The 21,304-nt window shown below is 52.0% G+C and overlaps 1 protein-coding gene across 2 annotated transcripts in view, besides 5 other annotated features; it reads left to right on the plus strand.

Annotated features, from left to right (window-relative positions):
• Positions 5,519-6,386: an enhancer, noted in NCBI's record as "OCT4-NANOG-H3K4me1 hESC enhancer chrY:534047-534914 (GRCh37/hg19 assembly coordinates)". NCBI's record gives its function as "activates a minimal SCP1, AML or CMV promoter by ChIP-STARR-seq in primed H9 embryonic stem cells {active_cell/tissue: H9 hESC(primed)}" and the evidence as "EXISTENCE:reporter gene assay evidence [ECO:0000049][PMID:30033119]".
• SHOX (SHOX homeobox) overlaps positions 6,551-21,304 on the plus strand; it is a 35,068-nt gene continuing 20,314 nt past the window's right edge. The window contains exons 1-3 of one of the 2 annotated variants that reach the window (NM_006883.2): positions 6,551-6,809; positions 12,673-13,381; positions 16,825-17,033. In NM_006883.2, coding sequence (NP_006874.1) covers positions 13,105-13,381; positions 16,825-17,033 — 486 coding nt within the window. In that variant the 5' untranslated portion in view covers positions 6,551-6,809; positions 12,673-13,104. Of the gene's footprint in view, positions 6,810-12,672; positions 13,382-16,824; positions 17,034-21,304 lie in introns of those variants that run through there. The other variant, NM_000451.4, reaches the window with a different exon arrangement.
• Positions 15,260-18,341: a meiotic recombination region, noted in NCBI's record as "meiotic double-strand break mapped by DNA meiotic recombinase 1 chromatin immunoprecipitation followed by single-stranded DNA enrichment and sequencing in the germ cells of some male individuals with the PRDM9 A/A, PRDM9 A/B and PRDM9 A/C genotypes". NCBI's record gives the evidence for it as "EXISTENCE:chromatin immunoprecipitation-seq evidence [ECO:0000229][PMID:25395542]".
• Positions 15,260-18,482: a biological region, named in NCBI's record as "meiotic recombination hotspot SHOX".
• Positions 15,483-18,482: a meiotic recombination region, noted in NCBI's record as "crossovers mapped in sperm cells of males of northern European ancestry". NCBI's record gives the evidence for it as "EXISTENCE:DNA detection assay evidence [ECO:0005519][PMID:12089524]".
• Positions 16,561-16,577: a nucleotide motif, noted in NCBI's record as "nucleotide motif; similarity to the predicted 16-mer PRDM9 C-type binding motif, CCNCNNTNNNCNTNNC".

The raw sequence follows: 21,304 nt of genomic DNA on the forward strand, positions 1-21,304 counted from the left end.
ACCCCCAGGTTGTCACCTCCCCTCCAGACCCCTACGTTCTCATGTCTCATGTCCCCTCCACACACCCACGCTGTCATAGCCCTGGGCATCGTGGCCTGTGTGCAGAAGAACCTCTCGTCCTTGGAGACCCAGAGTCCCCAAATCACCTGGCCACACGGGGGACCCCAGTCTTTCTGGTCCAACCTGGCTGCACCCTGAAGTCACGGAGACCTAGAGACCCCAAAACATGTCCCCCAAAGACACCTTACTGCGCCCTGGTGCAAGGGGCCCCACTCCCAACCTGGAAAGCTGCCTTCCTGACTCCCACACAGACCCCAGACCCGCTGGGAAGGCCCTGGGCGTTTCAGAACTCCCCTGGCCAAGCTCCTGAAACCCCAGGAACTGTGACTCCTCTGAAAACAGGGGTGGGAGTCACTCCCACCTCCCCGCTGCCAGACCCAGGGCTACAGGGTCACGGAGGCAGCCTCAACAGGTGTGGTAGGATGACAGCTGAGGCCAGCAGGCACACAGCATAATGAATGAATGAATGGATGGGTGAATGAATGGATGGATGAAAGGATGAATGAATGAATGGATGGATGAAAGGATGAATGAATGAATGGATGAATGGATGAATGGATGGCTGAATGGATGAATGGATGGATGAATGGATGGATGAATGGATGAATGGATGGATGAATGGATGGATGGATGGATGAATGGATGAATGAATGGATGAATGGATGAATGGATGGCTGAATGGATGAATGGATGGATGAATGGATGGATGGATGGATGAATGGATGGATGAATGGATGGATGGATGGATGAATGGATGGATGAATGGATGAATGGATGGATGAATGGATGGATGAATGGATGAATGGATGAATGGATGGATGAATGGATGAATGGATGAATGGATGAATGGATGAATGGATGAAGGAATGAATGGATGAAGGAATGAAGTGAACCCAGGGCAGTCCCCTGCCTGCAGTATCTCCCCACACACCTCAGGGCTTTCTTAGCTGCGGCGAGCGGACAAGTGCCCTGAGCTAGACTCCCTGAGTGACCAGTGCAGACAGCTGTCCGCTCAGATCCCCCGGGACCCTCAGCCAGTGGCACAGAGTAGCTCTCCTGCCCACGCCTGCAGAAGCAGACATGCCCGGGTGGTTTATCCTGCGTGGCTGGGGGCGTGGGGGTGGCTGGGCTGTCGCTTGCTCCCACCCCTACCCCGGGTGCGCCCCCTGCCCCGTGCGCTGCGGGGGAGAAGAGCGGGGCGGTGCGCAGAGCGCAGAGCTGGGCTCCGGGCGAGAGTCCAGCCCGGTCGAGCTCAGGTCTCTCGCCCCAAGCTTCGCCTCGGGCCAGGAGGCTGAGCTGCGGGTGGAAACCGCCCTCCCCTGCCTCGCCCCGGGGCCCCCTCCCCCGCACTCCGGCCCGGGCCGGCGCCTGAGCTCCCCAATTAGCCCGGCTGCACTCGGACCTCCCCCAAATCCCTCCCCCAGATCCCTGCCCCGCACGCTCCTGCCTGGAGACCCCGCGCGCTCTGCGCTCCCCGCCTTCCCAGCCACCGCGGGTCAAGTTCCCCAGTGAGCGCAGGGCATGACCGGGGCGCATCCCCGGCCCCCCAACAGGCAGCCTTGGGCGGTCAGCGCGGGCGCCTCATTAGTAGGGTGGGATGAAGGGTTCCCCGGAGAGACGCAAGGCGAGCCCCCACCCACCCACCCACCGAGGCCCTGAGCATGGATAAGCGCCCCCAGTCCGGGCACCGTGGGGGACCCCTAGGGTCGTGGCCTCGCGGGCTGGTCCAGGAGCGCCCAGGAGCCTGGGGCAGGGGTGGGGGTGGGGGTTCCAGGACCGGCACGTGGGGGCCCCAGAACCCCTGCGCTCACCCGCGGGGTCGAGCTGTCTCTCCAGAAGCTGCGCTTGGTCAGGACTTGGGCCTTGTCCCCGCGGAAGTTCTGTTCCAGGCCAGCCCCCGGAGGCAGGAGGATGGGGAGGAGGCGGCCAGGTCTGCGGCACAAATTAGGCCATTAATTCCTGCCTGCTCCTAGAGAAGGCAAAGTTTCTGTCCTGGAATACGTTTCCAAAGACACAGCTTCTGGAAGGGGAAGGGAAAGGATGGAGAGGCTGCGCGGTGCTGATTCCACCCGACAGGCAATGCTCGCGTTCCTTGGAGTGGGAGGGGTCGGGGCGATGAGAAACCTCTGGGGGATCGGGGCAGGTGGACACGCGCGCTCGGAGCTGTCCAAGGCCTGGTCTCCCCGGCGATGACCCTACCCAAGAGTCAGGTCCCCACCTCAGGGAATCCTCCCGTTCCTTGGAGTTGGGGGGATGGGAGCGATGGGAAACCTCTGGGGGCTTGGGGCAGGTGGATAGGCGCGCTCTGGGCTGTCCAAGGCCTGGTCGCCCCAGGGCTGGCCCTACCCAAGGGTCAGGTCCTCACCTCAGGCCTCAGCCGGGGAGGAAGGCGGTGAACCAGGCACGGTGCCCTGTGCGCGCTCCTCGCTCTCCGGAGGCTCGGGGCCCCGTGTCCCCGCCGCGCCCCTGGGTGCCATTCGCGTTCTGCCGAAGCTTCTAGTCTTGGGAAGCAAAGTGTGCCTCTTCCTGGCTCTGCGCGGTGGAGGTCTTCGTTCCTTTCATCTGCGTTTTGACGTTGGAGAGACGTGGCCAAAGACTGGGAGCCTGTTTGGGAGTCCTGCCAATTTCTTAAGCCGGTGCGTCCTGGGGACGCGAATCCCGCGTCTGGGGCACGGGCAGGAGGAAGGAAGGACCAGTTCTTTTTCTGTCCCCTTGCGGAGGCCCGTGCCAGAAGTGGAAATGACAGTCGAAATACACCTCCAAGATGTGTTCCTCAGAACATGAATGACCGCAGAAAGGGGGCTGAATTTATTCCTGGCGAGGGAGGGCCGCCCCTTCTTTGTGCAGCGGTGGCCTCCAGCAAACGGCCTTGCTGGGTTTCTTCTTCGTGACAAAGGCCTTTGCTCCCTGAAAAACATAACGTTTTTCTTAAACAAATAAGAGTTTTCTTAAATAAAACATAGAGGCCCTGTGATTAAATCCGAAAGGAAAGAGGTCTAATGCCCACCATATGTTGCAAAGTACATGCTAAGGTTTAAAAGAGAGAGAGAGAGAGAGAGAGAGAGAGAGAGAGAGAGAAGCAAATTCCACAGAAGGTCCCTGAGAAAAAGCAAACAACGTTTTCTCCTAGGAAGTTTTACTTTAAAAATTGCAAGTTTGCATGGTGGGGTATTTTAGAGACACCCTCTCCTGCACACACACACACGTAGGTACTAGGACTTGTAGAAAAAGCGAGATAAAATGAAACAAATAGAAAAAAAAAAACCCCACAGAAAAACAAAGCTACATTCCCAAGGCAGGTCCTTAGACACATATGGTCAGCCAGGCCTCTAGAGAGAAGAAAAAACCAACCAGGGCCTACGTGCCCTTTTTAAATATTATAGAGGTTGCCCTTGTCCACTGGATCAGTCTCAGCCATTCACGAGCCAGACTGACAAACCTCACTTTAATGAAAATCTATTAGCTTCACGCGGGCAACGTGGATGTTTGCGTCAATCAATAAACAGCGTCGGAGGGAGTACAAATCCAGGTTTCTGACTTTAAAAGGGGAGGGGGAAGGAAAAAAAAAACAACAAGAGTTCGTCTAGGAAACGTGTTGAGACGTCTGTAAAATTCTGAAACCCTAAATACATCCTTATACATATTTAATGTGCGGGGAGGGGTTGGTGGTTGTTATAGGGGCCGAACCTTGGTCCGAGACCATGAATACCCACCCTTCCGTGCTTATCATGAATAGAAATGGCCTTTCGAATTATGTGCTTAAAAAAAAAGTGGGCCACATGGAAGGGGTATTTCTTGAAATAGCTGTAGGAGATATACCTAACGTCAATGACGAGTTCTTGGGTGCAGCAGACCAGCATGGCACATGTATACGTATGTAACTAACCTGCACGTTGTGCACATGTACCCTAAAACTTAAAGTCTAATAAAATAAAATAAAATAAAATAAAATAAAATAAAATAAAATAAAATAAAATAAAATAAATAAAATAAAAAGAAAAGTGTTTCCTCCCTGGCTGGAGGACCCAGGAGGAGGTCCCAGTTTTCCGGTGGGGATGGGCGTGGAGTAGGGGGCGGGGAAGGGATGAGGGCCTTAGGTTCTGCATCAGGAGGGCTGGAGGCCCCAGAGGGCCCCGTACAAATGCCTCTCTGCAATTAAGAGCTCTGGGCGTGAAATTTGATTTAAAGTAAATACATCAGGTTCCAGAGAGCGGAGCTTCGTTGGAGCTAAAACTGAAAAAATATAATCAAAGCCATACTTTTCGGGAGTTAAAGAAATCAAGTGTTCAGTATTTGAAGGTTCACGGCTTCTATTCCCCTTGGTGCTGCAAATGACAGAGAGAGAGAAAGGAGAGAGAGAAAGAAAAGAGAAGAGAGAGAGAGAGAGAAGACAGAAAGACAGAGACAGAGAAGAGAGAGAAAAGACAGAGAGAAGAGAGAGGACAGAGAGAAAGAGAGAGAGAGAAAGACAGAGAGAGAGAGAGAAGACAGAGAGAGAAAGAAAAGAGAAGAGAGAGAGAAAGAAGACAGAAAGACAGAGAGAGAGAAGAGAGAAAGAGAGAGGAGAGAAGAGAGAGAGGAGAGAGAGAAGACAGACAGAGAAGAGAGAGAAAAGAGAGAGAGAAGAGAGAGAAGAGAGAGGACAGAGAGAAAGAGAGAGAGGAGAGAGAGAAAGACAGAGACAGAAGAGAGAGAAAGAGAGAAGACAGAGAGAAAGAGAGAGAGGAGAGAGAGAAAGACAGAGAAAGAGAAGATAGAGAGAGAGAAGACAGAGAGAAGACAGAGAGAGAGAGAGAAAGACAGAGAGAGAGAAGAGAGAGAAAGACAGAGAGAAGACAGAGAGAGAGAGAAAGACAGAGAGAAGACAGAGAGAGAAAGACAGAGAGAGAGAAGATAGAGAGAGAAGACAGAGAAGACAGAGAGAGAGAGAAAGACAGAGAGAGAGAAGAGAGAGAAAGACAGAGAGAAGACAGAGAGAGAAAGACAGAGAGAAGACAGAGAGAGAGAGAAAGAGAGAGAGAGAAGACAGAGAGAGAAGAGAGAGAGAAAGAGAAAGACAGAGAGAGAGAGGACAGAGATAGAAAGAGAGACAGAGAAGACAGAGAGAGAGAGAAAGACAGAGAGAGAAGAGAGAGAAAGAGAGAGAGAGAAAGACAGAGAGAGAAGAGAGAGAAAGACAGAGAGCGAGAGAAAGACAGAGAGAGAAGAGAGAGAGAAAGACAGAGAGAGAGAAGACAGAGAGAGAGAAAGAGAGCGAGAAGAGAGAGAGAAAGACAGAGAGAGAGAAGACAGAGAGAGAGAAAGAGAGCGAGAAGAGAGAGAGAAAGACAGAGAGAGAGAGAAAGAGAGAGAAGACAGAGAGAGAAGAGAGAGAGAAGACAGAAAGACACAGAGAGAGAGAAGACAGAGAGAGAGAAAAAGTCAGAGAGAGAAGACAGAGAGAGAGAAAAAGACAGACAGAGAAGACAGAGAGAGAGAAAAAGACAGACAGAGAAGACAGAGAGAGAGAAAAAGACAGAGAGAAGACAGAGAGAAAGAGAGAGAAGAGAGAGAGAAGACAGAGACAGAAAGCGAGAGAAAGACAGAGAGAGAAAGTCAGAGAGAAGAGAGAGAGAGAGCAAATGACTTATTCCTTAAAACGTACCTAATTCACATAGAAAAAGCCAGATTATTTGATAAAGTGGGCCAGTCTCAGAGTTCCTTCCTCTTCGCAGCCATCCTAAGCGCGTTCCTCGAGTTTCCCCCCAGCAGGTGCGTTCTAGAAAGCGCTGGTCAGGACGCATGGCTGCCCCATAGATTTCTTGGGGACGGGAGTGAGAGACGCCTGGACGCCCAAGCGCAAGCCTCCAGCCTCCAAGGTCCTACAACAGATACAGCAGCTACTGAGTCTCCTCTCTGGTTTCTTTTCCGCCCCTGGGGAGAGAAAAGAGAAGGGGAGAAACGTCACCACCAGCAACTGCTCCCAGCCAGCAAGACGCACGGCGGGGAGGCCGGGGCTGGCCGCGTCCTGCAGCTCCTGAGCTGCGTGTCTGAGCTTTTCCCAGCCCCGCCTGCGTCTCCAGGGGCGAAATAAGAAGCAAATCTTGCTGGGACCGAGTTCAGGTCGAGGAACTCCGGGACCCTCTGCAGCCTCAGCCCTGCCGCGCTCCCCGCAGCTTCGGGCCTGTTGCGGGGAGTTGGGGAGGAATTCAGGGAAGGGGGGAACCAGGCCGGGATAAGAGGCTCCGGCTTGCTGTGGGCTGCATGACGGGGTGCAAAGGCGAGGAGAAGCCCCTGGGATCCTGGCTCGTCTGCTGCGGGACCCCCAGCCCCGGCGGGCGGACCGCGGAGAGCGCTGTCCCGGATCCGGAGATTCGCTTTTCCTTTGCGACTGCGGGGCTGGCGCGCGCGCGCGAGGGGTCAGCACCCTGGGCATTGGGGTCAATGCAACCAGGGCAGGTCCCTGGGGGGCCCCCAGGAGCCAATAGGGGTCTTCGAGTCACCCTGCGGCCGCCTGCTTTTGCCCGGGTCCTGAGAACAGGGGCTCCCCACACTTTTTTTTTTTTTGGTTTTGTTTTATTTCGTTTCCGCGCGTCTCTTTCTACTGCAAACAGAAATGGGAGGGTGGACAGGCGGGTAGGAGCGGATCAGACGCCCAGGACGCAGCAGCCCGAGTCCGCACAGGGTTTGCGGGAGGTGGTGACCGCGCTGGGGACGCCAGGACGCGAATGAACCTCCGGGGCGCGCTCGGGGCCTGCGCTCAGAGCTTGGTGAGCTCGGTTTTGGAACTTTCCTTTTCTTTTCCAGAAAGCTTTGCCTTCTTTCCTTTCTTCGTTCCTTCCTTCCTTCCTTCCTCTCTTCCTCTTTCTTTTCTTTCTTTCTTTCTTTCTTTCTTTCTTTCTTTCTTTTCTTTCTTCCTTTCACTTGGCAAGATTGGTTTTGGAGCTTTCCTTTTCTTTTCCAGAAAGCTTTGCCTTCTTTCCTTCCTTCGTTCTTTCCTTCCTTCCTTCCTCTCTTCCTCTTTCTTTCTTTTCTTTCTTTCTTTCTTTCTTTCTTTCTTTCTTTCTTTCTCTCTTCCTTTCTTTCTTTCTTTCTTTCTTTTCTTTCTTTCACTTGGCAAGATTGCTTTTGGAGCTTTCCTTTTCTTTTCCAGAAAGCTTTTTCCTTCCTTCCCTCCTTCCTTCCTTCTCTCCCTCCCTCCTTTCCTTTCCTCCCTCTGTTCCTTCCTCCCTCCCTCCCTCCTTCTCTCCCTCCCTCCCTCCTTCCCTTTCTTTCTTCTTTCTTTCTTTCTCTTTCTTTTTTCTTTCTCTTTCATTTCTTTCCTCTTCCTTCCCCCATCCTCCCCCTTCATCGTCCCTCCTCCTCCTCCTTCTCCTCCTCCTCCTCCTCCTTCTCCCTCCTCCTCCTCCTTCTACTCCTTTTCCTCCTCTTCCCTCTGCCATTTGTCTCTTTCCCCTTTGCGTTTTTATTCGCAGTCGTTGTTTTTGTCCATCCACTAACTTCTCTGAAACCTGATTCTTTTGGGACGCTTGGCAAAAGGCATTTCATACAGGGAGGCGGTCACATACGCTAACAAGACACGGTGAAAAGTCTCTTCTCATCGGCTTGGTGTGCTGCTCTCTTCTCTCTCTCGCTGTCTCTCTCTGTCTGTCTCTCTGTCCCCTGTCTGTCGCTATTTTTCTCTGTCTATCTCTGTATCTCTGTCTCTCTCTTTCTCTCCTCTGTCTCTCTGTATCTCTGTCCATCTCTGTCTCTCTTTCTCTCTCTCCTCTCTCTCTTTTTCTCTGTCTCTGTCTGTATCTCTATCTCTGTCTCTCTTTCTCTCTGTCTTCGTTCCTCTCTCTCTTTTTTTCTCTCTTCCTCTGTCTCTCTTTCTATCTCTGTCTCTCTCTCTCCTCTCTCTCTGTCTCTTTTTCTCTGTCTCTGTCTGTATCTCTGTCTGTCTCTGTCTCTCTTTCTCTCCTCTCTCTGTGTCTCTGTCTCTGTCTCTCTTTCTCTCCTCTCTTTTTCTCTGTCTCTGTATCTCTGTCTATCTCTGTCTCTCTTTCTCTCTCTCCTCTCTCTCTTTCTCTGTCTCTGTCTGTATCTCTATCTCTGTCTCTCTTTCTCTCTGTCTTCGTTCCTCTCTCTCTTTTTCTCTTTCTCTGTATCTCTGTCTATCTCTGTCTCTCTTTCTCTCTCTCCTCTCTGTCTCTTTTTCTCTGTCTCTCTCTGTGTCTCTACCTCTGTCTCTCTCTCTCCTCTCTTTTTCTCTGTCTCTGTCTGTATCTCTGTCTATCTCTGTCTCTCTCTCTCCTCTCTCTCTTTCTCTGTCTCTGTCTGTATCTCTATCTCTGTCTCTCTTTCTCTCTGTCTTCGTTCCTCTCTCTCTTTTTCTCTTTCTCTGTATCTCTATCTCTGTCTCTCTTTCTCTCTCTCCTCTCTCTCTGTCTCTTTTTCTCTGTCTCTCTCTGTGTCTCTACCTCTGTCTCTCTCTCTCCTCTCTTTTTCTCTGTCTCTGTCTGTATCTCTGTCTATCTCTGTCTCTCTCTCTCCTCTCTCTCTTTCTCTGTCTCTGTCTGTATCTCTATCTCTGTCTCTCTTTCTCTCTGTCTTCGTTCCTCTCTCTCTTTTTCTCTTTCTCTGTATCTCTGTCTATCTCTGTCTCTCTTTCTCTCTCTCCTCTCTCTCTGTCTCTTTTTCTCTGTCTCTCTCTGTGTCTCTACCTCTGTCTCTCTCTCTCCTCTTTTTCTCTGTCTCTGTCTGTATCTCTGTCTGTCTCTGTCTCTCTTTCTCTCCTCTCTCTGTATCTCTGTCTCTGTCTCTCTTTCTCTCCTCTCTCTCTTTTTCTCTGTCTCTGTATCTCTGTCTATCTCTGTCTCTCTTTCTCTCTCTCATCTCTCTCTGTCTCTTTTTCTCTGTCTCTCTCTGTGTCTCTACCTCTGTCTCTCTTTCTCTCCTCTCTTTTTCTCTGTCTCTGTATCTCTATCTCTGTCTCTCTTTCTCTCTCTCCTCTCTCTCTTTTTCTGTCTCTGTCTCTCTGTCTGTCTCTGTCTCTCTTTGTCTCTCTCCTCTCTGTCTCTTTTTCTCTGTCTCTCTCTGTGTCTCTACCTGTGTCTCTCTTTCCTCTCTCTTTTTCTCTCTCTGTCTGTATCTCTGTCTACCTCTGTCTCTCTCTCTCTCCTCTCTCTCTGTCTCTTTTTCTCTGTCTTTCTGTCTCTCTATCTCTGTGACTCTTTCCCTCTCTCCTCTCTCTCTCTTTTTCTCTCTCTCCCTGTCTCAGGGAAGCATCAGTAAAACCTCCAACAAGCACCCCCTTGTACACAGCCCAGGCCAAGAGAGGTGCAGACCCTGCTTTCTGCCTGCAGCCGCCTGCTGTAAAATGTCAATGCAAAACATTTCATACAGTCCACCCACTCTGCAGACTGGAGCTGCGGCCTCTCGGACAGCGTCTTGAATTGGCAACGAAAAACGTGTGGGGTAGAAAAAGCTCTCGTCTGGATTTCTAACATGTTATCAAGCACTCAAACGCTGGGTGTTTCCTGCCTGTCTTTAAAGGGAAGGGCAGGGAGAGAACGTAAAAGCTCTGGTCAGAGAAGGGAAAGGTCTTTAGGTGAGAGGGGTGAGGCCGCCTCCGTGCTCATCCCACAGGAAGAGTTGGAGTTTTACAGAAAGATGAGATCTCTTTCGCGTAGCCAGAAACTCTTAGGAAAAGCGGGGTGTTGGAAAGGCAGAAAGTGTGCCATGAATCGGACGTGCGTGATTTCAAAGCCACTTGTCTGCAGTGAGAATTACAATTGGGGCTTCAGTTGAAAAAGGGCCTTTGCTTTTTCTCCGAGGCCGAGGGGCCTTGAATAGCCACACAGCTCCTGACTGGTGTCCCCATGCTCATTCCTGGAGGCTCGGACACCCTGGTAGAGCGGAGTTTCCTACTAGACAAAGGGGTCCAGATTGCGGCCCAAGAAGGAACCTCAGGTCGGGGAAAGCCTGGGCCTCACGGGACCCCCCAGGAAAGCCTGGTCCTTGGGGTTGGAGAAGACAGCTGAGCTGGGAGGACGGAGGGTTTTCGGTAGGGAGACAGTGAGCAGCTGTGAGAGGTTTACGGCGCAGTCCCTGGGGACCCAGTTTCCCAGCAGAGGCAGAGATGGGGAGGCCTTTAGAAGCAGAAAAGTTACCCGGCCTCTGAGGACCCAGAAAGTTGCTCTAAGCCAGAGACCCTTCTCCGAATCTCCCTCTCTGTCTGTCTCTGCCTCTCTCCCTCTTTCTCTTCCCCCTCCCTGTCTCCCTCTCTGTGTCTCTGCCTCTCTTTGTCTCTCTCTGTATCTCTATCTGTGTCTCTCTTTTTCTCTCTCCATCTCTCTGTCTCTCCGTTTCTCTCTTTCTCTCTCCCTCTCTCTCCCTGTCCGTGTCGCTCTTTCTCTCTCTCCATCTCCCAGTCTCTCCCTTTCTCTCTCTCCATCTCTCCCTGTCTCTCTCTTTCTCTGTCTCCATCTCTTTCTCTGTCTCTCCTTGTCTCTCTCTTTCTCTCTCTCCATCTCTCTCTGTCTCTCCCTGTCTGTTTCTCTCTCTCCATCTGTCTGTCTCTCCCTTTCTCTCTCTCTGTCTCTCCCTCTCTCTCCCTGTCTGTGTCTCTCTTTCTCTCTCTCCATCTCTCTCTGTCTCTCCCTGTGTTTCTCTCTCTCCATCTCTCTCTGTCTCTCCCTGTCTGTTTCTCTCTCTCCATCTGTCTGTCTCTCTCTTTCTCTCTCTATCTCTCCCTCTCTCTCCCTGTCTGTGTCTCTCTTTCTCTCTCTCCATCTCTCTCTGTCTCTCCCTGTGTTTCTCTCTCTCCATCTCTCTCTGTCTCTCCCTGTCTGTTTCTCTCTCTCCATCTGTCTGTGTCTCTCTTTCTCTCTCTCCATCTCTCTCTGTCTCTCCCTGTCTGTTTCTCTCTCTCTATCTGTCTGTCTCTCTCTTTTTCTCTCTCTATCTCTCCCTCTCTCTCCCTGTCTGTGTCTCTCTTTCTCTCTCTCCATCTCTCTCTGTCTCTCCCTGTGTTTCTCTCTCTCCATCTCTCTCTGTCTCTCCCTGTGTGTTTCTCTATCTCCATCTCTCTGTCTCTCCCTTTCTCTCTCTCTGTCTCTCCCTCTCTCTCCCTGTCTGTGTCTCTCTTTCTCTCTCTCCATCTCTCTCTGTCTCTCCCTGTGTGTTTCTCTCTCTCCATCTCTCTGTCTCTCCCTTTCTCTCTCTCTGTCTCTCCCTCTCTCTCCCTGTCTGTGTCTCTCTTTCTCTCTCTCCATCTCTCTCTGTCTCTCCCTGTGTTTCTCTCTCTCCATCTCTCTCTGTCTCTCCCTGTCTGTTTCTCTCTCTCCATCTGTCTGTGTCTCTCTTTCTCTCTCTCTATCTCTCCCTCTCTCTCCCTGTCTGTGTCTCTCTTTCTCTCTCTCCATCTCTCTCTGTCTCTCCCTGTGTTTCTCTCTCTCCATCTCTCTCCGTCTCTCCCTGTCTGTCTCTTTCTCTGTCTCCATCTCTCTCTGTCTCTCCTTGACTCTCTTTCTCTCTGTCTCCATGTCTCTGTCTCTCCCTGTCTGTGTCTCTCTTTCTCTCTCTCCATCTCTCTCCGTCTTTCCCCCTCTGTCTCTTTCTCTGTCTCCATCCCTCTGTCTCTCCCTTTCTCTCTGTCTTTCCTTGTCTCTCTCTTTCTCTCTCTCTCTCCATCTCTCTCTCTCCCTGTCTCTCTCTCTCCATCTCCCCGTCTCTCCGTTTCTCTCTCTGCCTCTCCCTGTCTGTCTCTCTCTTTCTGTGTCTTACACACACCCCAACCCACCGTCACTCATGTCCCCCCACTGCTGTGCCATCTCACACAAGTTCACAGCTCAGCTGTCATCCTGGGTCCCCAGGCCCCGCCGGGGAGGAAGATGCGCCGTGGGGTTACGGGAGGAAGGGGACTCCGGGCCTCCTGGTGCCCCACTTTATTTGCAGAAGGTCCTTGGCAGGAACCGTGACGCGTTTGGTTTCCAGGACTTGGAAAACGAATTTCAGGTCGCGATGGCGAGCACCGGCTTCCCCTGAAGCACATTCAATAGCGAGAGGCGGGAGGGAGCGAGCAGGAGCATCCCACCATGAAAACCAAAAACACAAGTATTTTTTTCACCCGGTAAATACCCCAGACGCCAGGGTGACAGCGCGGCGCTAAGGGAGGAGGCCTCGCGCCGGGGTCCGCCGGGATCTGGCGCGGGCGGAAAGAATATAGATCTTTACGAACCGGATCTCCCGGGGACCTGGGCTTCTTTCTGCGGGCGCTGGAGACCCGGGAGGCGGCCCCGGGGATCCTCGGCCTCCGCCGCCGCCGCCTCCCAAGCGCCCGCGTCCCGGTTTGGGGACACCCGGCCCCTTCTTCTCACTTTCGGGGATTCTCCAGCCGCGTTCCATCTCACCAACTCTCCATCCAAGGGCGCGCCGCCACCAACTTGGAGCTCATCTTCTCCCAAGATCGTGCGTCCCCGGGGCGCCCGGATCCCCCCCTCGCCATCTCAACCCCGGCGCGACCCGGGCGCTTCCTGGAAAGATCCAGGCGCCGGGCTCTGCGCTCCTCCCGGGAGCGAGGGCGGCCGGACGACTGGGACCCTCCTCTCTCCAGCCGTGAACTCCTTGTCTCTCTGTCTCTCTCTGCAGGAAAACTGGAGTTTGCTTTTCCTCCGGCCACGGAGAGAACGCGGGTAACCTGTGTGGGGGGCTCGGGCGCCTGCGCCCCCCTCCTGCGCGCGCGCTCTCCCTTCCAAAAATGGGATCTTTCCCCCTTCGCACCAAGGTGTACGGACGCCAAACAGTGATGAAATGAGAAGAAAGCCAATTGCCGGCCTGGGGGGTGGGGGAGACACAGCGTCTCTGCGTGCGTCCGCCGCGGAGCCCGGAGACCAGTAATTGCACCAGACAGGCAGCGCATGGGGGGCTGGGCGAGGTCGCCGCGTATAAATAGTGAGATTTCCAATGGAAAGGCGTAAATAACAGCGCTGGTGATCCACCCGCGCGCACGGGCCGTCCTCTCCGCGCGGGGAGACGCGCGCATCCACCAGCCCCGGCTGCTCGCCAGCCCCGGCCCCAGCCATGGAAGAGCTCACGGCTTTTGTATCCAAGTCTTTTGACCAGAAAAGCAAGGACGGTAACGGCGGAGGCGGAGGCGGCGGAGGTAAGAAGGATTCCATTACGTACCGGGAAGTTTTGGAGAGCGGACTGGCGCGCTCCCGGGAGCTGGGGACGTCGGATTCCAGCCTCCAGGACATCACGGAGGGCGGCGGCCACTGCCCGGTGCATTTGTTCAAGGACCACGTAGACAATGACAAGGAGAAACTGAAAGAATTCGGCACCGCGAGAGTGGCAGAAGGTAAGTTCCTTTGCGCTCCGGCTCCAGGGGGGCCCTCCTGGGGTTCGGCGCCTCCTCGCCACGGAGTCGGCCCCGCGCGCCCCTCGCTGTGCACATTTGCAGCTCCCGTCTCGCCAGGGTAAGGCCCGGGCCGTCAGGCTTTGCCTAAGAAAGGAAGGAAGGCAGGAGTGGACCCGACCGGAGACGCGGGTGGTGGGTAGCGGGGTGCGGGGGGACCCAGGGAGGGTCGCAGCGGGGGCCGCGCGCGTGGGCACCGACACGGGAAGGTCCCGGGCTGGGGTGGATCCGGGTGGCTGTGCCTGAAGCCGTAGGGCCTGAGATGTCTTTTTCATTTTCTTTTTCTTTCCTTTCCTTTTTTTGTTTGTTTGTTTGTTTGAGACAGAGTCTCGCTCTGTCCCCCAGGCTGGAGTGCAGTGGTGCGATCTCGGCTCACTGCAACCTCTGCCTCCTGGGTTCAAGCGATTCTCCTGCCTCAGCCTCCCCAGTAGCTGGGATTACAGGCATGCACCACCACGCCTGGCTAATTTTTGTGCTTTTAGTAAAGACGGGGATTCACCATGTTGGCCAGGCTGGTCTCGAACTCCTGACCTCAGGTGATCCACCCGCCTCGGCCTCCCAAAGTGCTGGGATGACAGGCGTGAGGCACCGCGCCCGGCCTGGGTCCTGACGGCTTAGGATGTGTGTTTCTGTCTCTGCCTGTCTGCCTTGTATTTACGGTCACCCAGACGCACAGAGGAGCCGTCTCCACGCGCCTTCCCAGCGCTCAGCGCCTGCCGGGCCCCCGGAGATCACGGGAAGACTCGAGGCTGCGTGGTAGGAGACGGGAAGGCCCCGGGTCAGCTCGGTTCTGTTTCCTTTAAGGAACCCTTCATTATTATTTCATTGTTTTCCTTTGAACGTCGAGGCTTGATCTTGGCGAAAGCTGTTGGGTCCATAAAAACCACTCCCGTGAGCGGAGGTGGCCGGGATCTGGATGGGGCGCGAGGGGCCCCGGGGAAGCTGGCGGCTTCGCGGGCGCGTCCTAAGTCAAGGTTGTCAGAGCGCAGCCGGTTGTGCGCGGCCCGGGGGAGCTCCCCTCTGGCCCTTCCTCCTGAGACCTCAGTGGTGGGTCGTCCCGTGGTGGAAATCGGGGAGTAAGAGGCTCAGAGAGAGGGGCTGGCCCCGGGGATCTCTGTGCACACACGACAACTGGGCGGCATACATCTTAAGAATAAAATGGGCTGGCTGTGTCGGGGCACAGCTGGAGACGGCTATGGACGCCTGTTATGTTTTCATTACAAAGACGCAGAGAATCTAGCCTCGGCTTTTGCTGATTCGCAGAGTTGAGGTGCGAGGGTGAATGCCCCAAAGGTAATTCTTCCTAAGACTCTGGGGCTACCTGCTCTCCGGGGCCCTGCATTTGGGGTGTGGAGTGGCCCCGGGAAATAGCCCTTGTATTCGTAGGAGGCACCAGGCAGCTTCCCAAGGCCCTGACTTTGTCGAAGCAGAAAGCTGTGGCTACGGTTTACAAAGCAGTCCCCGGTTTCTGACCGTCTAAGAGGCAGGAGCCCAGCCTGCCTTTGACAGTGAGAGGAGTTCCTCCCTACACACTGCTGCGGGCACCCGGCACTGTAATTCATACACAGAGAGTTGGCCTTCCTGGACGCAAGGCTGGGAGCCGCTTGAGGGCCTGCGTGTAATTTAAGAGGGTTCGCAGCGCCCGGCGGCCGCTTCTGTGGGGTTGCTTTTTGGTTGTCCTTCGCAGACACCGTTTTGCTCCTCTGAACTCTCTCTTCTCCCCCTGGCCGTGGACCCGGGAGAGCAAAGTGTCCTCCAGACCTTTCGAAAGTGAGAGGAAAATAAAGACCAGGCCAAAGACCCAGGGCCACAGGAGAGGAGACAGAGAGTCCCCGTTACATTTTCCCCTTGGCTGGGTGCAGAAAGACCCCCGGGCCAGGACTGCCACCCAGGCTACTATTTATTCATCAGATCCAAGTTAAATCGAGGTTGGAGGGCAGGGGAGAGTCTGAGGTTACCGTGGAAGCCTGGAGTTTTTGGGAACAGCGTGTCCCCGCCGAGCCTGGGAGCCCGTGGGTTCTGCAAAGCCTGCGGGTGTTTGAGGACTTTGAAGACCAGTTTGTCAGTTGGGCTCAATTCCTGGGGTTCAGACTTAGAGAAATGAAGGAGGGAGAGCTGGGGTCGTCTCCAGGAAACGATTCACTTGGGGGGAAGGAATGGAGTGTTCTTGCAGGCACGTGTCTGATAGGAGGTGAAACAGAATGTGAAATCCACGTTGGAGTAAGCGTCCAGCGCTGAATGTAGCTCGGGGTGGGGTGGGAGGGCCCTGGTGTGGATCGTGGAAGGAAGAAAGACAGAACAGGGTGCTAGTATTTACCCCGTTCCCTGTAGACACCCTGGATTTGTCAGCTTTGCAAGCTTCTTGGTTGCAGCGGCCTTGCCTGTGCCCCTTTGAGACTGTTTCCAGACTAAACTTCCAAATGTCAGCCCCTTACCCTTGACAGCAAGGGACATCTCATTAGGGCATCGCGTGCTTCTCATCTGTGCTCAGCAGGCCCGAGATAGGAACAGAGGGGCGTTGGAGATGCCACTTCCACCAGCCCTGGGTTGAAGGGGAGCGAGGGAGACACCTTTTACTTAAACCCCTGAGCTTGGTCAGAGAGGCTGAATGTCTAAAATGAGGAAGAAAAGGTTTTTCACCTGGAAACGCTTGAGGGCTGAGTCTTCTGCCCTTCTGACTCCCCCAGCAAATACAGACAGGTCACCAACTACTGGAGATGAGAAAGTGCCATTTTTGGCACACTCTGGTGGGGTAGGTGCCCGACCGCGTGTGAAAAAGTGGGAAGGAGAGATTTCTGCGCACGCGGTTCAGCCCCCAGGCGCGGTGGCGCATTCAGGTACTCAGACGCGGTTCTGCTGTTCTGCTGAGAAACAGGCTTCGGGTAGGGGCTCCTAGCTCCGCCAGATCGCGGAGGGACCCCCAGCCCTCCTGCGCTGCAGCGGTGGGGATAGCGTCTCTCCGTAGGCCTAGAATCTGCAACCCGCCCCGGGTCCTCCCCGTGTCCTTCCCGGGCGTCCCGCCGGGGATCCCACAGTTGGCAGCTCTTCCTCAAATTCTTTCCCTTAAAAATAGGATTTGACACCCCACTCTCCTTAAAAAAAAAAATAAGAAAAAAAGGTTAGGTTATGTCAACAGAGGTGAAGTGGATAATTGAGGAAACGATTCTGAGATGAGGCCAAGAAAACAACGCTCGTGCAAAGCCCAGGTTTTTGGGAAAGCAGCGAGTATCCTCCTCGGCTTTTGCCTTATGGACCCCACGCAGTTTTTGCGTCAAAGCGCATTGGTTTTCGAGGGCCCCCTTTCCACCGCGGGATGCACGAAGGGGTTCGCCACGTTGCGCAAAACCTCCCCGGCCTCAGCCCTGTGCCCTCCGCTCCCCACGCAGGGATTTATGAATGCAAAGAGAAGCGCGAGGACGTGAAGTCGGAGGACGAGGACGGGCAGACCAAGCTGAAACAGAGGCGCAGCCGCACCAACTTCACGCTGGAGCAGCTGAACGAGCTCGAGCGACTCTTCGACGAGACCCATTACCCCGACGCCTTCATGCGCGAGGAGCTCAGCCAGCGCCTGGGGCTCTCCGAGGCGCGCGTGCAGGTAGGAACCCGGGGGCGGGGGCGGGGGGCCCGGAGCCATCGCCTGGTCCTCGGGAGCGCACAGCACGCGTACAGCCACCTGCGCCCGGGCCGCCGCCGTCCCCTTCCCGGAGCGCGGGGAGGTTGGGTGAGGGACGGGCTGGGGTTCCTGGACTTTTGGAGACGCCTGAGGCCTGTAGGATGGGTTCATTGCGTTTGTTTTTCACCAACAGCAAACAAATATATATACATATATATTATACAAATAACAAATAAATATATATGTTATACAGATGGGTATATTGTATATATTATAGATATTTGTTCGTCCTTGGTGCAAAGACACCCGGTGAACCCATATATTGGCTCCTGACTGCCTTCGGTTCCCCTGGGATTGGTTATAGGGGCAACACATGCAAACAAAACTTTCCCTGGATTATACTTAGGAGACGAAGCTACAGATGCGTTTGATCCAGAGTGTTTTACAAGATTTTTCATTTAAAAAAAAATGTGTCTTTTGGCCCCTGATTCCCCTCCGTCTTCCCGTGTGGCTGCATTGAAAAGGTTTCCTTAGGATGAAAGGAGAGGGGTGTCCTCTGTCCCTAGGTGGAGAGAAACAGGGTCTTCTCTTTCCTCCGTTTTTTCACCTACCGTTTCTATCTCCCTCCTCCCCTCTCCAGCCCTGTCCTCTGCTACAAACCACCCCCTCCTCCCTCCGGCTGTGGGGAGCGCAGGAGCACGTTGGGCATCTGGATGAGCGGAGACTATTAGCGGGGCACGGGGGCTCCCCGAGGAGCGCGCGAATTCACGCTGCCCCATGAGACCAGGCACTGGGGGGCGGAGGGGCCTTGGGTGTGCGCAGAGGGACGGGCGGGCAGAGCCTTCCTCCGCATTCTAAACATTCACTTAAAGGTATGAGTTTATTTCAGGGGTGCTGCTGGGAGAGCCTCCAAATGGCTTCTTCCAGCCCCTGCCTGACAGTTCAGCTCCCCTGGAAGGTCAACTCCTCTAGTCCTTTCTCCTGGTTCTGGGCAGGACAGAAGTGGGGGGAGGGAGAGAGAGAGAGAGAGAGAGAGAGAGACGGTCAGGATCCCCGGACCCTGGGGACCCCGTCAAAAATAAATGAAATTAAGATTGCCGACCAGAGAGAGAACCGTGACAAAGCAAACGGCGTTCAAAGCAAAGAGACGAACTGAAAGCCCGTTCCCGTAGGACTGGTTATGAGGTCAACACATTCAAACACAGCTTGCTCTCGATTTTGCTGAGCAGAGGAAGATACAGATGCATTTGATCCAAAGTGTGTTACATCTTTCATTATATGTGTGTCTCTATATATAAACATATATAAATATATAAACATACATAAATGTATGTAAATATATATAATCTATATACATATATAAATATATAAACACATATATAATATATAAATCTATAAACATATATAATATATAAACATAAATATATAAACATATATAATATATAAATATATTAACATATATAAAATATGTATAAATATATATAAACATATAAACATATATAAATATATAAACATATATAAATATATACAAACATATTGTATATATATAAATATATATAAAAACATATATATACATATAAAAATATATATAAACATATATACATATAAAGAAATATATATAAACATATATACATATAAAATATACATATATAAACATATATATACATAAAATATATATATAAACATATATATACATATAAAAATATATATAAACATATATACATATAAAGAAATATATATAAACATATATACATATAAAATATACATATATAAACATATATATACATATAAAGAAATATATATAAACATATATACATATAAAATATACATATATAAACATATATATACATAAAATATATATATAAACATATATATACATAAAATATATATATAAACATATATATACATATAAAAATATATATATTAACATATATATACATATAAAAATATATATATATTTTTGGCCCCTGATTCCCTTCGGTTCCTGTGGGATGGGTGATTGAGTCAACACATTCAAACACAACTTTTCCATCGATGTTGCTTAGGAGATGAGGATACAGATGCGTTTGATGGAGAGGGTTTTACGAGCTCTTTCATTTAAAAATATATATATATATATATATATATTTTGGCTCCTGATTCTCTTCCGTCTTCCCATGTGGCTGCATTTTAAAAGGCTTCCCTAAGATCGTTAGGATTAAATCAACCCTCCCCAGGCATCTTTACCGAGGGCTGTGGTCCCCAAAGCGATACAGCCCAGGAGGGAGAGAGGCTTTGGTGACTTGGAGGAAGGACTGTGTCCCTCCTTAGGGCGTCTGTGGCCTCAGTGAGGGAAGGAAGCTGCATCAGACAGGGGTTTCCTCGCTGTCCACCCCTCTGGCAGAAGATGGATTGGGCTGCCCCGTATAAATTAATGAAAAGATTAAAGTTTCGCTAAAGGGGACATCGAGTTTATGTGTCATCTCCTGGTGTCTGTGTGCCTGGGATCTGCAATATATCCCAGCCCTTGATGTACTGTTTCTATAAAAATAAATTACTTGTAATTTAATTCCACACTATTTCTTTCCGTAGTCTATTACCGACGAGAGCACGTTAGTTCAGCTGCGGAAAATTGGTTGTGGGGTGTGTGCGGACCCCGAGAACGCCCTAAAATAAAGACAAATCGGGGACAAGCTGGGGGTTATCGATTGCAGGGGTCGCATGAAAATTTAACGACGGTAAATAATAATAACAACAAACATGGGAATGCAATAAAAGACATAATTCTCCATCGCCGCGGGGGGAAAGGATCCTATAGTAAAGGCGAGTGCGCTTTGAGGGGTCATAAAAATCAATTAGTTCCAACACCCACGTCCCGCGTTGAGGGGACGGGGACGAGCAGGGACAGAAAAAGAAACCATATTTGAATCCCATCTCTCTGTGAATTCTTGGGTCACATGCGTCTCAGTACAGCCCGTCCCGTGCTGTGACCGGATAGAGTTTCAATTTACTGTGGAAATTTGCTGTAAATAAATTGAGCATCCGATAGAAGCTGTTGCTGATTAACCTTTTATTTTTAGCGTGGCCCTGCAAAGTCGTATCACCCAGCTGTCAGGCTTCTAATCGAAAGTTATGAGACCACGGTGAGGGGCAGGCGGTAATTTAATTACAACAAATATCTTTGGGTTTATGGCGCAGAGCTAAATTAAATGTCATTATTCACTGTCTGTAATGGAAATCAAAAGGAAATCGCATTACGGCATTTGGGAAAGAAAGCGGGGAGTGCTCTTTAATGAAGAAATAACTGTCTTAAGCAGTGTCACACACTTCACTTACCATATTCGGGCCTAATTGGAATGGATCGTGAATCACTCCAAGACTGATTTATTAGCGCTTCACGCAGCGGCTAATTCATCACTTGTATTCTTCATCATTTTTTTTTTTCCTCTCGCCGTGTTGAAGGGAGAGTGAATGAGGCTTTCCACGTTTCAGGAGGATTTTCTTTTTTGAAAAATGCCCTTCCAGAGGCTTTTGGGTGGCTGGCTTGCTTTCTGGGCCCTGGAGGAGACAGGCGGAGAGTCCAGGTGGGCATGGAGAGGCACAGTGGCAGGTCACCTGGATGGTCAGTGGAGGTGGAGGTCTGAAGGCGCCAGCTTTGGAAATTATTGGTGAATTTCGATGTCAGCACCAGGCAGGGGCCTTTTTGGCGGGGGTGTGAGGGAGGATGACTTTGCTGGGAAACAGGATCAGGTTCTCCAGGCGCACTGCAGCCCGGTAGGACCCACTTTGGAAATGAAAAGCCAGTTCCGAAAGCTGGGCTGGAAGCTTCCGTGTTGGGTTCAAGAGCAAGTTCACGTTGCGCTGTGTAGACTCCTGGCTGCTCCCAAACTCTGAGGGTTTTCTGAGGTTCCCTTCATAGGGGCACCGGCCCTGGGCCATGCACAGTGTGTAAGGGTGGCTGTGGGCCGAGGGACCCAGCACGTGTTTTGCCCACAACAGCCGGAGTGACTGGTTCACTCACCGCCTTGGCGGAGGACGCCTGTTCTCTGGACGAATCATTTCTCTTGGGTGGTGACTGCCTTGTGGGTCAAGGTGCAGGTTTTCTGCCACAGAAAACCTGTTAGGAGGAATTAAGCGACTAAGACTGTCAGGGAGGTGGTGGTGGGGGAGAGGAGGGGGTGGTGTCCAGATTACCAGGCATAGGCTAAACTGCCTGCACTCTCCAGCTGGTCTGTCTGTGGAGGAGGGGATTGTCAATACTGGGAGAGCAGAGG

Source organism: Homo sapiens, chromosome Y (genome assembly GCF_000001405.40).
Source record: "Homo sapiens chromosome Y, GRCh38.p14 Primary Assembly".
NCBI classification, from domain to species: Eukaryota; Metazoa; Chordata; class Mammalia; order Primates; family Hominidae; genus Homo; species Homo sapiens.